This window comes from Homo sapiens, chromosome 2, assembly GCF_000001405.40.
Source record: "Homo sapiens chromosome 2, GRCh38.p14 Primary Assembly".
In the NCBI taxonomy this organism is placed as follows: domain Eukaryota; kingdom Metazoa; phylum Chordata; class Mammalia; order Primates; family Hominidae; genus Homo; species Homo sapiens.
This window is the reverse complement of record NC_000002.12, coordinates 241323891-241340868: the sequence shown is the minus strand read 5'-3', so window position 1 is coordinate 241340868 and position 16978 is coordinate 241323891. Positions and strand designations below refer to the sequence as shown.

General features: G+C 39.9%; 1 protein-coding gene across 45 annotated transcripts in view; it reads right to left on the bottom strand.

Annotated features, from left to right (window-relative positions):
• Positions 1–16978, bottom strand: part of SEPTIN2 (septin 2) — a 38673-nt gene that overhangs the window by 13159 nt on the left and 8536 nt on the right. For 27 of the 45 annotated variants that reach the window (XM_024452921.2, XM_024452920.2, XM_047444494.1 and 24 more), the window contains 6 exons: positions 16628–16653; positions 14756–14876; positions 5657–5743; positions 4771–4894; positions 3353–3487; positions 3079–3196 (listed from right to left, as the gene is read on the bottom strand). In XM_024452921.2, coding sequence (XP_024308689.1) covers positions 3079–3196; positions 3353–3487; positions 4771–4894; positions 5657–5743; positions 14756–14876; positions 16628–16653 — 611 coding nt within the window. Of the gene's footprint in view, positions 1–3078; positions 3197–3352; positions 3488–4770; positions 4911–5517; positions 5548–5656; positions 5744–14755; positions 14877–16627; positions 16654–16978 lie in introns of all 45 variants that reach the window. The other 18 variants (NM_001349306.2, NM_001349287.2, NM_001349305.2 and 15 more) reach the window with 9 other exon arrangements.

Sequence of the window (16978 nt, the reverse complement as noted above, 5' to 3'; positions counted from 1 at the left end):
GAAGCTAGTAGAGGCTGGCAGGAGGCAAGAGGTTCTTGTAGATAGGGCAGAATGAACAAACTGGTAGGCATCAAGGAGAAACTGGAGGAAGAGAAGTGATTAATGAGGCCCAAGAAGGAAGGGATAAAAGCTCGAAGTATTTCGATTCATCTCAGATGTTGTAATCCAGCACTAAATGTTTCGCATACAGGATTAGAGATTAGAATTACAGCATTCTAACCCTGACACCACCCCCATTTCTACCTCAAAGAAATTTAATATAGCAGAGTACAAAAGGTGAAGTTCCCTTAAGTAGGAATTACTAAAGTATTTATTAGCATAAAAACGTCTACGCTTCCAGGGGTTCTTCAAAGGTTCAAATACTTTCTAAAAAACTGGCAGGCACTTGAGACAATTTAGGAAAAGGCTGCCAAACATGACTACATGCTGCTTAAAAATTGCTTTGGAAAAAAGCACCAAGAAAAATGTGAAAAAATGAAAGTCAAACCAGGTGAAATCATCTGCAACGTGATAGTCAACATCTAAAAATAAGTATATGTGTTAAGTCAATAAAAAAGCAAGAGCCAAGTCCCTGCAACCTGAGAGAATACACCAACCGGCATCAACACCAGCACAGATACTCACATCGGCAATCAAGGAAAGGCAAATTCAAATGAGATACAATTTCTCAGACAGGAAACACATTACAAAAACTGGCAACATAACCAGGACAGTTTTAGGGGGTGGAGAGAAGAGTACACTTTGGAAATGTAAATTGTTACAAACTTACTTTAGAGCAAATTTAGTCATCCTTCAAAAATTTAAATGTATACTTATTTCCTAAGAATTCGTTTGGCTCACACAATTGTGAAAAGATAGATGTACACCAGTGTTCATTACAACAATTATGCAACAAATCTATTATGTGCCAGACATTATTCGGAACTCTGGGAATACATAAGTGAACAAAGCAGATTCCTGATCTCAGGACCTGGGGTCAGGGGTCAGGAGAAGCCAAAAAACACGCTAGAGAAATACTTTATGCAGTGTGGGGGGAGTGCTACCAGCAGAGCAGGGGATGGAGATGTGAAATCTTGTGTGCAGCGTTGGGCTCAGTGAGGGAGTTCCCCACACAGGTATCTGAGGGAAGACTGTTCCAGGCAGAGGGTATCACTAGCAAAAGCAGCGAGCAAGGGGCAAAGAAACAGTAAATTTGGTCAAAGAAGAAAAGGGGCCAGAGTAAAACAAAAAGTAAGCCAAATATTCATCAGCAGGAAACTGGACAAGTTAGAGTATATTCATATGGTGGAATGCTGTGCATCCAGGAAGAATTAGGATACAGTATATATATGAGGATGCTTCCAAATATTTTTAAATAGAAAAATCAAATGGCAGAATAGTATTACTATGTGATTTCATTCTGCAAAACCAAAAACATAAGCTATGTTCTAGAAGGATATATACTTAACAGTTGTTCTTTCTGTGGGTAATTACAGAAATTCTTTTTTTTTTTTCTTGAGACGGAGTCTTGCTCTGTCACCCAGGCTGGACTGCAAACAACCTCTGCCTCCTGGGTTGAAGCGATTCTTTTGCTTCAGCCTCCTGAGTGGCTGGGACTACAGATGCCCGCCACCACGCCCGGCTAACTTTTGTAATTTTTTAGAGACGGAGTTTTGCCATGTTGGCCAGGCTGGTCTCGACCTCCTGACCTCTGGTGATGTGCCTGCCTCAGCCTTCCAAAGTGCAGGGATTACAGGCGTGAGCCACCACACTCGGCCTAGAAACTCTTTTATTTTAAAAAATATATGTATATTATATTTATATATATATAATATATAAAAATGTATATATAATATGTATATAAATATAATGTATAAATATAATATTTATATATATTTATAAATATATTTATATATTATATTTATAATATATATTATATATATAATATATATAATAAATATATGTACAATTATATATATTATATATAATATATATAATATATATTATAGATATATTAAATATATATATTTTTATATATATTATATATTTATTATATATATTATATATAAATAATATAAATATAATATGTATTATATATAAATAATATAAATATAATATATATAAACAATATAAATATATTACATATAAATAATATAATATATATAATATATTATATAAATAATATAAATATAATATATATTACATATGTAATATAAATAATATAGATATAATATATATGTAATATATATTATATATATTTATTAATTATATATTATATATATAAAATATATATATATATTTTTTTAGAGACAGCGTATTGCTATGTTGCTGAGGTTGGCCTCCAACTTCTGGGCTCAAGTGATCCTCCTGCCTGAACCCCCTGCTGTATCCCCCTACCCTGCCCCAGCAACTGTGATTACACGCACAGATCGGTATGTTCATTTAGGGATTTGTATTTTTATGCACGTACCGGTATGTTCAGTTAGGGATTTGTATTTTTAGAGTTTAGCATATATAAACTATTTGGACTTTCTTAAGGAGCATATAATCAGAACAAAGTAAGCAATTTAAAAATATATAGCAGAGAATCAATAAAGAGGCTTTACAGACATACACGGAAGAGGCACTAAAACTGGGACACCACAGGAGCTGCTGGCGGGTGAGAGGCGCTTCGCTGGCTGACAACTGCTATGTTTCCAAACAGAACAGAGAACCAGTCTACTTAGATACATCCTTGTATGGGTCATTTGCAGTAAAGAATTTAGGTAAAATAACAAACTTCATGGAGAGATCACATTTCTATATTTGAGTCATTTAACTCCCATGGAAGGTACTTGTGTGTAACCAACTGCTACTCATCGAGGGCATTTTAAATATAAGGAGAATTTAAAGAATAGAAATTTGATACCTTCATGAAGGCAAAAATTAAAATTTGTAACCATCAGGTTCTCCTTGAAAACCACCACTAAAATGCAGGAAAAATTCTCCCGCCCTGCCTCCCGACACCTGAGCAGACTGAGCGTGGGAACACACTCCTTTCTTCATCCCCATGCCCCCGAGTCGCACCCAGAGGGAGGGCAGGACGCCAGCCTCACTCACCCTTTTCTTCAGCCGCTCCCGTTCCTTCAGGGTGAGAGTGTCAGCTTTTGCAATGACAGGCACAATATTCACCTTGTTGTGTATTGCCTTCATAAACGCCACATCTAAGGGCTTAAGTCTAAAATTAATTTTAGAATTGTCACTTATTTAAAAAAAATACATACAAAACTCTTCTCTCTCAAATTATCTTAATTCTTATATTAAAATACACAGTTTGGGTAAAACTTACAAACCCATGTAGTAAAGCATTTCTCCACGATAAACAATTACTTACCCATGTCCAAAAGGTGAAATAAAGTAAAAGCAACAATGCACCCTATTATCAATGATGTGCCGCCTGTTCAAGCCGCTCTCGTCATGCAGGTACCTCTCAAATTGCTCATCAATATAGGAGATAATTGTCTTAAAACTGAGAGAAACAGAAACATTAACAATAATCATAGGGTATAAAACAGGGGGTCCCTGACTTCAAAGGGAAAACAAGTGCCTCCGCCCAAATATACATAATTTAATAATTCATTTTCAAGATGAGAACAGAAGACTGACTTTTAGATTTGGCAAATGGAAGTTTTTGGAAACTATGCCAAGCATAACTGCCCCTAAGTGCTGAGAGTCAAAAGCCTGAATGGAATAGGTTATGATGCACCTGAGAGAGGGCCAGTGTAGACAGGGCTGCCAATTCGTTCTTTTTTTTTTTGAGACTGAGTCTTGCACTGTTGCCCAGGCTGGAGTGCAGTGGCGTGATCTCGGCTCACTGCAACCTCTGCTTCCAGGGTTCAAGCGATTCTCCTGCCTCAGCCTCCCAAGTAGCTGGGATTATAGGCACACGCCACCACGCCCGGCTAATTTTTGTATTTTTAGTAGAGACAGGGTTTCACCATGTTGGCCAGGCTGGTCTCGAACTCCTGACCTTGTGATCAGCCCACCTCAGCCTCCCAAAGTGCTGGGATTACAGGCATGAGCCATCGCACCCAGCCAGGGCTGCCAATTCTTTTCAGGAACGTGACTGTGAAAAGGGGCAGAGGAACAGGGTGGTAGAGAACATGGGTCAAGAACAGGTTTATCTGAGCTGGGAAACAGCATTTAACTGAGCTGGGAAACAGTACAGCACTTTCACATGTAAGAAGGGAGAAATTCCTAAATGTAGGAGAAAGATAACAGAACCTTCCCCTTTTCATCTAGTGGTGGAAACCTGATGCTTTATGTTGACAGGAATAGAACCAGGAGGGAGTTTGTACAACAAAAGTGGCATTCTTTGCACGGTACAGGTGACAGACTGCTCTATCTTCTACTTCTTCATTTCCTTATTTGTGAAAATGATGCCAATGAGCAGTCATTTACAGACACTACGACTCAACCCACTCTCTAACAGGTTTCACTTCCTTCCACATAGAAAGGATGTACTACAGTATCTCGGTCACCAACCACGGCTCAAATCCAGGTGTTTCATTTATACTAGCAGTCTATGGATGACTGGCTTTGCGATCTCAAATTACAGTAGAGTACCAGAAAAAAATTACTCTCTATAAAATTCCTTATTTAAAAAGTCAACATTTAACACGCTTTAAATTGTCTAGGTGTTTTATTATATACAGCAATCCCAAACTTAATAATCACTCATTAACACTATCTATAAATTTATGAAGTATATTAAGTAAACAAATGCAGATCCCTGGGCATGGGGGAGCATACCAATCTCTGCAGTTGATAGCGTCACCATAGCCAGGGGTATCTACCACTGTCAGGCGTAGCTTGACCCCTCGCTCTTCAATTTCAACAGTTGAAGCCTCAATCTGGACAGTTCTTTCAATTTTTTCTAGAAAAGAAACAAACTTAATAGGGAATATAAGCAGCATGTGAAGAGGAAAGCTCACGTTCTTACGACAGGTGACTTCAGAGTCTACTGCCTCTCTACAGAGGTAGGTTCTCCAAAGATACCATGGGGATTAAGAAAAAAAGATCCCAGAGAAGTCAGAAAGGGGAAGGTTAAAGCTAAGATTATTGTGCTACTGGGGAAGGTTAAAAACACAAATGTTAAAAATTATAATTTCTGTTCCTGGGAAAAAGAAAGCAATTTACGAATTCATTTAAAAACTGAATTCAAAAATATTCTGAAAGGGCTACATATTCTTGCAGCAGCCCAAGTCTTAGGCTCTCACTATGTGTGCCTATTTCATTCAACAGTCATTTGTGGATGCTGGTGTCCTGTGCTGGAACTTTCTGACAGTAGATGAATTCGAACATCTATCCTAGTAATCTTCTAGTTACACAGCATTTTTGATGTAAAACATTCTCACTTAATCCTTCCATCAAATATTTAATATAGGCAGAAACTACTTATTACATTTTACAGACAAACTCAAGAGAGGATGGATCCATGGATACGTGTCAAAGAAAGTCTACAACCCAAATCCAAGGACCTCGGTGCAGCACACCTACCCCATAAAAGTGTTTTCCTTGTGTTCAAAGCTGAACAAGAACAAACAAAACACACAGCTAAGACATAAAATATTAATTAGGCAGTCTTCAGCATCTTTCATGTAGAATTACACTTACAGTAACATAAGAATGTTTTTACCTGCTGCTCCAGGTATGACTCTTTCTGGGTACAGATCAGTTAGGAATAGGCTGTTTATGAGAGTCGATTTTCCTAGACCTGATTCACCTTTAAATAAAAAGAAAAACCTTGTCATGACCTTATTCATATGACACCATTCAATCGGTTAAGTGTTTACATAAGGCCTGGTACTGGGCTAAGTACCTCACAAACATCATTCTGTGTTTAGTACCTACAGTACTACTATGTTTGCAGTATGATCTTTGAGGGTACTCAAAGAAACTCTAATTTGCCCAAGGTCAGAGTACTATCCAGAGCAGGGCCAAGATTTGAATCCAGGTCTATGAGACTACAGAACTTGAACATCATATAATTAGAAACATAACTGTTCACAAATGTGAGGAATGTACTTTAGAGGTTGGTTTTTATTTTTGACAAATAGAATGCAAAGCAGGTTTTCAATTATCAGTTCTGCTAGTCACTAAACTCACCACATTTTCAGAAAACTGAACATATCTATCCCATAGTGTCAACAACCCTTGTGCTTCCCGAGCTGCAGAAACGTGTGAGCAGGACAGGGCCTGTGGTCTGGTGGGCTCACATGCACACCCTCACTCTGCAACCTCCCCCTTCTGCCACCTTGTCTTCTTCCTGCTTTAAATCCATCCCCGTTTCCCAGCACTGGCAACTGTCATATGTCGGGCAACTTTCCCGCTCACTTTGTTGAGTTCACACGACTAATTCAGGTGACACATATCCATGTAAGCTTTCAATGAGGTGAGAATCTCTCTTGAACTACTGTGACTACATATTCTGAATATTTGAAATTTAACTTCAAAAAAGATGCAAAATACCAAAAATTAAATTTTACATTTGAAGGAAGCACAAATCCCACTGCTTCATTGCAGATGATCATCTAGGTCTCAATTCTGCATGGAGAACTGCTTCTGATCTTGGTACTACTGGTGCTGGACTGTCCTCTGGGTACCCTAAACCACCCTCTGTTAAGTTCTGCAAAGCATGAGGAAGGAGTACACATCTCTTTTGAAAAATTATTTCTGGCTGGGCATAGTGGCTCACACCTATAATCCCAGCACTTTAGCAGACCAAGGCTGGAGGATCACTTGAGGCTAAGAATTCAAGACCCCGCCTGGGCAAAATAGTGAGACCCCCATCTCCCAAAAAACCAAAACAAAGTAAAAAAAACCCCAAAACCTTAGCCAGGTGTTGTGGCTTGTACCTAGAGTCCCAGCTACTTGGGAGGCTAGGGCAGAAGGATTGCTTGAGCCCAGGAGTTAGAGATTACAGCAGGCTATGATCATGCCACTGCACTTCAGCCTAGGTGACAGAGTGAGACCCTGTCCCTTACAGAATAAAACAATTCTGGGAAAATCAAGAACAAATAAGTGAATTTGCAATGTGCAGACGCACAGCCGGGCGCGGTGGCCCACGCCTGTAATCCCAGCACTTTGGGAGGCCGAGGCAGGCGGATCATGAGGTCAGGAGTTCAAGACCATCCTGGCTAACATGGTGAAACCCCGTCTCTACTAAAAATACAAAAAATTAGCCGGGCGTGGTGGCGGGCGCCTGTAGTCCCAGCTACTCGGGAGGCAGGAGAATGGCGTGAACCCGGGAGGCGGAGCTTGCAGTGAGCCGAGATCGCACCACTGCACTCCAGCGTGGGCGACTGAGCGAGACTCCATCTCAAAAAACAAAACAAAACAAAAAGAAACATGCAGACATACAAAATTAGGACTGCATTTTAAGTGAACTGCAATTTTCACACATGAAAAGAACAAAACAATGTGTTGAACATGCCTAAATATGAGTGTAAAAATTTGACTAAATGCCTGTTATCCCATTAAGTCATCCTTTTAATAAACGGTGGTGCAATGCCCCTTTACCTGTTTCTTTAGAAGTCTGACAAAATTTTAAAAACTGCCTTTCCTCTTCAATAGTCTCTCATTTACTAATTAGGTGTGTTAGGGTTTTCCTGATACACCCATTTTTCTTGAGCTATTAATACTACAATTTAAAAGTTGAGGATTCTTGTGGCTTTCTAGTTTTACTTTTCACTACTCACCCTCAACCCCCTACCTGTTTTATTTTAAAGCCACTTTGAGGCACGATTTACAAATACTAAAATACACCCATTTAAACTGTACAGTTTTGACAAAAGTAGATACTCAGATAATCAAACTCCACTCAAGATAAAGATTATTTTCATAACCCTAGAGTTGCTTTGTGTAACTGTGAAGTCTACCCTCTCCAGTCCCCACCGCAGGCAAACACCAATCTACTTTGTCACTATGTATCAGCTTTGCTTATTCTAAAACTTTTAAATGGCATCATACAACATGGCCTGTTTTGTGTCTGGCTGCTTTTGCTCAACAAAGCTCTGAGACTGATGCATGTTGTTGCATCTACGAGTAGTTCGTTTCTTTGTAGTGCTTGGCAATATTCCATTGTATGGCTACACCACAATTTGTTAATCCACTCTCTAGATACCTCTGCTGTCCCCAGTTTGGGGCTATTTTGAGAAAAGTAGCTATGAATATTCATATACAAATCTTTATGGACATGTTTTCATTTCTTGTGGGTAAACACATACAAGCAGTATTGCTGGGTCTTAACTGTTAAGGAAGTACCAAACTGGCTTCCATACTGGTTGTGGCATTTTTACATGCTCACTAGTAAGAGTTCCAGTTGTTTCACATCCTTGCTGACACCTGGAGTGCCTGCCTCTTAGTGGCTGGGTAGTGGCATCTCATGGTTTCAATGCGTATTCCCCTGACCACCAAAGATGTGGACACCTTTATGTGGGTTTATTGGCTATTTGTTTATCTTCCTTAGTGAAATGTCTATTCAGATCTTTTGCCCCCTCTTTGTAAGTGGGTCATTCGTCTTACTGATCTGTGCAATATTTTTATATATTCTGGACACATATCCTTTGTCAGATATGGTACTATGAATACTTTCTGAGTTCCTCACGTTTTATTTTCCTATTGATGTCTTTTCAAGAAGGCAAACTTTTAATAATGCACAATTGTTTTTATAATTTCTATTCTTCATGTCTTAAGAAATCTGCTTACTACAAAGTCATAAAAATTTTTTTGCCCATTTTCTTGTAGTTTTTATAGCTTTACATTTAAATCTACTATAATTTCAGGTTGTGATATACAGTGTGAAGCAGGAGTTGAAGTTCATTTTTTCACACATAATCATCTAGTTGTTACAGACTGTAAAAAGACTAAACTTGCCCCCACTGAATCAACTTGGCTTTTTTCTCAAAAAACGAAACCAAAAAAACAATTGAACTTATTATATTGATGGGTCTACTTCTTGGCTGTTGCTCTGTTTAGTAGATCTGTGTATCTACCCTTACCACACTGTCTTGATTACTGCTGTTAAGTCTTGAAATCAGGGACTGTAATCCTCCAACTCTGCTCTTTTTCTAAACTGTTTTTGTCTGTTCTAGGCCCTCTACATTTACATTTAAACTTCCGAATCAGCTTGTTAATTTTTATTTCTGAAAGTTGGAGCTGGACGCTGTGGCTCATGCCAGTAGTAATCCTTGTACTTTGGGAGGCTGAGAAGGGTGGATCACTTCAGGCTAGGAGTTTAACACCAGCCTGGCCAATATGACAAAATGCCATTTCTACTAAAAATACAAAAATTAGATGGGCGTGGTGGCGCATGCCTGTAGTCCCAGCTACTTGGGGAGGCTGAGAAACGAGAATCACTTAAACCTGGGAGGTGGAGGTTGCCAAAATCATACCATTGCACTCTAGCCTGGATGACAGAGCAAGACTGTCTCAGAAAAAATATGGGACAATTTGGGGGAGAAAGGGCATAATAGTTCCAATCCACAAATGGGGCAGATCTTAACAACTTTAGATTTTAATTTCTCTCAGCACTGTTTTGTAGTTTTCAGTGTATAGGTCTTGCACGTTTTGTTAAATTTATCTCTGAACAATATTTTTTGTGACTGTTAAGTGGTACTGTCTTAAAATTATTAATACTCTTGTTTGTGATTTTTTTCTTTTGTTTTTTTTGAGACGGAGTCTCGCTCTGTCATGCAGGCTGGAGTGCAGTGGCATGACCTCGGCTCACTGAAACCTCCCCCTCCCAGATTCAAGCGATTCTCCCGCCTCAGCCTCCAGCATAGCTGAAATTACAGGCACCCACCATCACGGCCGGCTAATTTCAGTACTTTACAAAAGTACTAAAGAGATGAAGTTTTACCATGTTGGGGGGGCTGGTCTTAAACTCCTGACCTCAGGTGATCTGCCAGCCTCGGGCTCCCAAAGTGCTGGGATTACAGGTGTTAGCCACTGCACTCAGCCTAATTTCTTATCTTTAGTGGGTCCTGGATTTTTACAAATTCGTTTTTCAGCTAACATCATCTTCCTCCTTGATAACTACACTGCATGACAATGACTTTGAATGTTGCATCATGTATTCCTAAGATAAACTCCATTTGTTTAGTCAGTCCTAATTTGAAAATGAGAATTTGTTCCAATGGGATTGATACATTACGGAACAATAGCAGAGTAATACAAATTTCGTATTTGCTTATTATATATGATCTCATTGGTGAGAAACTAGGAGAATACAGAAGACAGTGTTTAATTCTGCATCCAACAGAATCAAACCACTTGGGGATATTCCCAACACACACCCCTAAATATCTATCAGCTATCTTTCTTCACTGCCTGTTATGAGCCACACCCATTTACACGTAGTGTTATGACTTTCCAACTTTAGAAAACCCTCCCTCCACAGCTACACAAAAGCACACAAGCTGCAACCCTCCTGATGTCCACTTGCACAAACCAACCTCAGGGCTTCTATGGTGCAGTCATTATTTTTTAACCATTTACATGTGGACTGGTATAATTCTTACGTTCCTATCTTTTTTCCCATTGTGTCGCTGATGAAGGTTCTGAGTATTGTGTCCCTGTTTTCTGCACAAGCCCTGTGGTGTTTATTCATCATGCTGTATGGCATGGTGATTTTTTTAGAAACACACGGGTTGCATCATAGCAGGACTCAGTGCATTGACTTTTTATTTAGATATATTGCTGGACTCGGTAAGATTTAATTAAGATGTCCATGTCTAGCTCGTGTATATGTAAAAAGTAGAGGCTCCTCTTTAAAGGCTTTACTCCCCGTCTAATTAGGAATAATACTAACTTCTCTTAGAAGCATAATTTATTCAAAGACCTGTGCTAACATTCTTAAATATCTGCTGGCCGTAATGAGGAAATCAAAGTACTTTATGTTCTTAGCTCGCACAATTCAGCCTAAATATTTGCCCTGGCATGCTTATGCTGGTCCAAGCAAGCATTAGGTCATAGCCTGTTGCTCTTCCTTATTTGAAGGTGATTTTACCTTTCTCAACATTCCTCCTTCCTTTGTTCTCCTCTGCCTTTGCCTCTTTTAAGAAGTTCTAAGTTGCTAGCCAATCAGGACAAATACAGAATGTGAGGTACCGTTCCAGCCAGTGGAAACCAGACACAGCAGTAAGGTAGACGCATCAGGTTATAAATGACCCAGGTTACAAATGATCCTCTTTGTTCGGTGTACCCTCTTGACAAAACTGCTGGCGAGTGTACCCTTTCTGTAGAAAGTAAAAATGGCCTTGCTGAGGAAACTGAATTTATGTTCAAGTACTATTTCTTTATGGCACCGAAAAACAAGCATTTCTAACATATATTAGTCTGTAGTTTTCTTGTCATTTGTAATAGGATAATGCTGGCTTAATAAAATAGGCTGGTAGGTGTTTCCTACTCATCTATTTCATGAAGATGTCTGTGTAAGATTTATATTAATCCTAGCGCTTTGAGAGGCCGAGGCGGGCGGATCACGAAGTCAGGAGATCGAGACCATCATGGCTAACACGGTGAAACCCCGTCTCTACTAAAAATACAGAAACAAAATTAGCCAGGTGTGGTGGCGGGTGCCTGTAATCTTAGCTACTTGGAGGCTGAGGTGGGAGAATGGCGTGAACCCGGGAGGTGGAGCTTGCAGTGAGCCAAGATCGTGCCACTGCACTCCAGCCTGGGCAACAGAGCGAGGCTCCATCTCAAACCATCTCAAAAACAAAACACACAAACAAAACAACAACAACAACAAAAGATTTACATTACTTCTACTCCCCGCCACATACACCTTTTCTCATTTTTAAATCTCTACCTTTTTTGTGTGTGAGAGATGGAGTTTCACTCTTGTTGCCCAGGCTGGAGTGCAATGGCGCGATCTCGGCTCACCGCAACCTCCACCTCCCGGGTTCAAGTGATTCTCCTGCCTCAGCCTCCCAAGTAGCTAGGATTACAGGCCTCCACCACCATGCCCGGCTAATTTTGTATTTTTACTAGAGATGGGGTTTCTCCATGTTGGTCAGGCTGGTCTCGAACTTGCCACCTCAGGTGATCCACCCGCCTAGCCTCCTCAAGTGCTGGGATTACAGGCGTGAGCCACCGTGTTTTGAGATGGAGTTTCTCTCTTGTTGCCCCGGCTGGAGTGCAATGATGGGATCTCGGCTCACTGCAACCTCCACCTCCTAGGTTCAAGTGATTCTCCGGCCTCAGCCTCCCGAGTAGCTGGGATTACAGGCATGTGCCAACACGCCCAGCTAATTTAGTATTTTTTTTTTTAGTAAAGGCAGGATTTCTCCATGTTGGTCAGGCTGGTCTTGAACTCCCAACCTCAGGTGATCTGCCCACCTCAGCCTCCCAAGATGCTGTGATTACAGGCATGAGCCACCACACCCAGCCAATTTCTACTTAATTTTATTTTTTGAGACGGAGTCTTGCTCTGTCGCCAGACTAAAGTGCTGTGGCGCAATCTTGGCTCACTGCAACCTCTGCCTCCCTGGTTCAAGTGATACTCCTGGCCTCAGCCTCCCAAGTAGCTGGGTCACAGGCATGCACCACCACGCCCAGGTTTTTGTATTTTTAGTAGAGATGGGGTTTTGCCATGTTGGCCAGGCTGGTCTCAAACTCCTGACCTCAAATGATCCACCCGCTCTGGCCTCCCAGAGTGCTGGGATTACAGGCATGAGCCATCACGCCCGACCAGTTATGTTATTCCTAATGACAATTCAGTGGTCACTCCTCTTATCTTCAATCCCCTGTATGTAATAAATTTCTTTGTTCTGGCTACTTTTTTCTTTTCTTGAGACAAGGTCTCACTCTGTCACCCAGACTGGAGCGCAGTGGCACGATGACAGCTCACCATAGGCCTGACGTCTCAGGCTGAGGTGATCCTCCTGCCTCAGCCTCTCAAGTAGCTGTGACTACCGGCATCCCCCACCAAGGCTGGCTAATTTTTATATCTTTTGTACAGACAGGGTTTCACCATGTTGCTCTTGAACTGGTCTTGAACTCCTGGGCTGAAGTGATCCACCCATGTTGGCCTCCCAAAGTGCTAGGATTACAGGCATGAGCCACCACACCAGGCCTGATCTGGCTACTTTTAAAGACCTTTCTGTTTATCTATGGTCTATTTGCTTATTACAGGCTTTGGTGTGCTTTTCTCTATTATTTCTTCTGCTTGTTGTCTCATCAGTAGTTTCTGGTAGCGTGTTATGATGCGTCCTGGTGTAGTTTTCTTTATATTTATTTTGCCTGGTATTTGTCAAGCTTCTTGGATCTGTGCATTTACAACTTTGCTGAAAATTGCACAATTCCCAGGCATTATTTTTTCATGTTTTTTTTTTTTGCTTTCCTGTCTTCTCTGTGAATATAATCCATATATTAGACTGTTCACAATGTACCAAAGGACACTGAGGGCACATTCAATTTCTTTTTTTTTTCCAGCTTTTCCCTTACTGTGCTTCTACTGTGCTTTTTCTCCTGCAGTGTATAATGTGCTGTCAGGCTTATCATGAAAATTTCTTATTTCGGTTGTATCTTAATCTTTAGAAGTTCCACTTGGTTTTCTGTTGTATCTTTCCTTTATCTTATTATATTCATGCTTTCCTTTAAGTAATAGAGTTCTTCTTTGCCATCGAGATCCATTTCTATCATTTCTGGATCTGTTTCTATTGCCTGCTTTTTCTCCTGATTATGTACAGTTTTTGTTTCTTTGATGCCACACAATTTTCTATTAGACATTAGACATTGTGAATGTTACACTGTAAATGCCTGGATTTTTTTTTTTTTTTTTTTTTTTTTTTTGAGACAAGGTTTCATTCACCCAGGCTTGAGGCTTGAGTGCAGTGGCATGATCTCAGCTTACTGCAGCCTCAACCTCCTGGACTCAGGTGAGAGGAACTACAGGTACATGCCACCATGCCTGGCTAGTTTTCATATTTTCTGTAGAGACAGGGTTTCACCATGTTGCCCAGCCTGATCTTCAACTCCTGCCTGCCTCGGCCTCCCAAAGTGCTAAGATTACAGGTGTGAGCCGCCATGCCTGGCCTGGAGGATATTTCTGAAACGGGTCACTTACACAGCCATTGGCAGGCCTTGGTTCCTTACTTGGTGGGCTTCCCTGTAAGGCTGCTTGAGTGTTCTCTTGACATGACAGCTGGCTTCCTCCAGAGTGAGTAATTTGAGAAGAGGCAAGGTGGGGGGCCATAATGCCTTTTATGACCTAGTCTTAGAAAATGACAACACTTTCATCTCCACAATGTCCTACTGGCTACACAGGTAAAACCCTATTCAATGCAGGAAGGGCTGGCTTCCTCCAGAGTGAGTAATTTGAGAAGAGGCAAGGTGGGGGGCCATAATGCCTTTTATGACCTAGTCTTAGAAAATGACAACACTTTCATCTCCACAATGTCCTACTGGCTACACAGGTAAAACCCTATTCAATGCAGGAAGGGACAAGAAAGTTGTGAATACCAGGAGATAAGAATCACTGGGGGCCATTTTGGAGCCTAGCTGACACAATGAGTAAACTTTCACTACATATAAATAAGAAAGTGACAGAAAAATAATTTTGCTCCTGAGAAAAATTTTCTAATGAATACACATATATTTGTTCAAATTCTCAAGTTATTTGACTCTGCCAAATTTTCCTCTTTCTTTATAGGTCACGTTATCATACTCCAGAGATTGGAAAGGGGAGATATTTATTTAGTAAGTTGGAGACTATAGATTAATTTCTTACCGACCACCATCAGTGTGAACTCAAAACCTTTTTTCACTGATTTTCGGTGAACTTGATTGGGGAGGTTTGCAAATCCAACATAGCCAGGTGTTTCTGGATTTATAAACTGAGTTGGCTGTTGCTAAATAAGATTAAAAAACAAACAAACTAATAAACACCTTAGTAGTTGCTTTTAAGATATAATCAGTTAGACATGAAACAAACATAGGTTATCAGTTTTCACAAATTTTTTAAAAAGTATAAACACTTCCAGAAGGTCATACTTCTATCAGAAAACCAGTAGTATTCAACTAGGAGCATTAAAAAAAGAAAAACTTATCTAGTATAACTCCTTAGTTGTATGCGACTGAAAATTAACATTTTGTTAATCAGTATTCTGTTTAGGAATTTAACAATACATAGAAGATACATGCTTAATACATCTTAATGCAATTTCAAATTTCGACTTGAGAGACTATGGAGTTCCAGGAAAATCAGTCAAGCTTACAAAGTACTGCTACAGCTGACAGTACTTTGAATGAATGGTTTCATTCAACAAACTTGGCTAAAGAATAGCTTCTCCCAGGTATTAGGTGCAATGCATTTCTGAAAAGTATCGAGGAAAAAAGCATCTCTCTTGCTGTGCTTCTAGCTCTATAGAACAGAGTTTCATCAAGGGTGAGGCAGGCAAATTAGGGGTGGGATGTTGAGTATCTAGTGTCAAAGACCAAGAAAGAAAAGACAGAATGAGAAGATCATAGATGACTACACTGAAGCATCAATATTCCTTGACAGAAGGGTATCTGATGAGAGAGAGGACAGAGATATGAGAAGGCAAGAATAGCAGAAGTAACCAGAATCTAGACAGTGGCATACTGAAAATGAGAAGAAATTTTAAAAATCAATTTATTAATTGAAAAAGGCAAGATACAAAATAGTATTTCCTTTAGGATTACATTTTGTAAATGTATAGTCAAATGCACACACAGGTGAAAAAGAATATATGTAACATATTAACAGTGGTTATTCCTGAGTGGTGAAATAATGACTTTTTTTTTTGCTTATCTGTGTTCCATGCTAACACTGGTATAAAATGCAAAAACTGGTATGATGATTTTGCATTGGACAGTAATGAACACCCACAGGATTCAAAGATAAAAAAAAAACAGAAATAATAATCTTGCAATGTTAACCACAAGTTCTGCTTTTCTCAGAATATGTTCTTTAGCACTAATTTATCTCTGAACTAACTTGCAAAGGCTGATTTAAACCAATTTATCAAGTCTAAGAGCCCCATCAATTTCATCATAATAAATTATCAGAATTCTAAATTATCTGGTCTGCTGGGAATGAACTAAGGGGGCCAAAAGGACTGTTACTGATGTGTGTAGAGAAAAGAAAGTAGAAGCCTGAAAAAAGAGAAAGCTCCAAGCTTTTAAGATGACAATTAGGCCAGGCACGGTGGCTCACACCTGTAATCCCAACACTTCGGGGGGCCAAAGCGGGTGGATCACGAGGTCAACAGATCAAGGCCATCCTGGCCAACACGGTGAAACCCCGAATTTACTAAAATCCAAAAAATTAGCCAGCGTGGTGGCACGTGTCTGCAGTCCCAGCTACTCCGGAGGCTGAGCCAGGGGAATCGCTTGAACGTGGGAGGCAGAAGTTGCAGTGAGCTGAGATCATGCCACTGCACTCCAGCCTGGTGACAGAACAAGACTCCCGTCTCAAAAAAAAAAAAAAAAAGACAACTAAATTAGAACTCTTTGTGTTAATGAATCAAATGTATCAGTTGTATTAAAAATAATGAATCATATAAGTCCCGACTGTCAACAGTCTGAAAACATAAAGCAATTTCTCCTTATGCTGTAGATACATGAAGTATGATCTTACCTTAGACATCTTTTGTGAAGCTTCGTCTGTTAAAAAAAAAACACACAGACACACATAAACGCACATACATAGTATGTATGTATACGCACGTATATTTAACAGCGTGAACTGACCTGAAGAAGACTTACACATACATAGGCAATGTAAAAAGAAAATACAATTTCAGGACCTTCCAAATGCATTAGGCCAAAGGGAAAAGTTAAGCACTGACAGCTGGCTCGTGTAACATCACTACTTTTATTCTTTCTGACTTTTGTGTTTAGATGTATATATTAACCAGACCCCCTATTCTTTATTCAAAACTAGACTAAATGACTGGGAGATGAGAGATCCTTATGACTGTTACTTCTT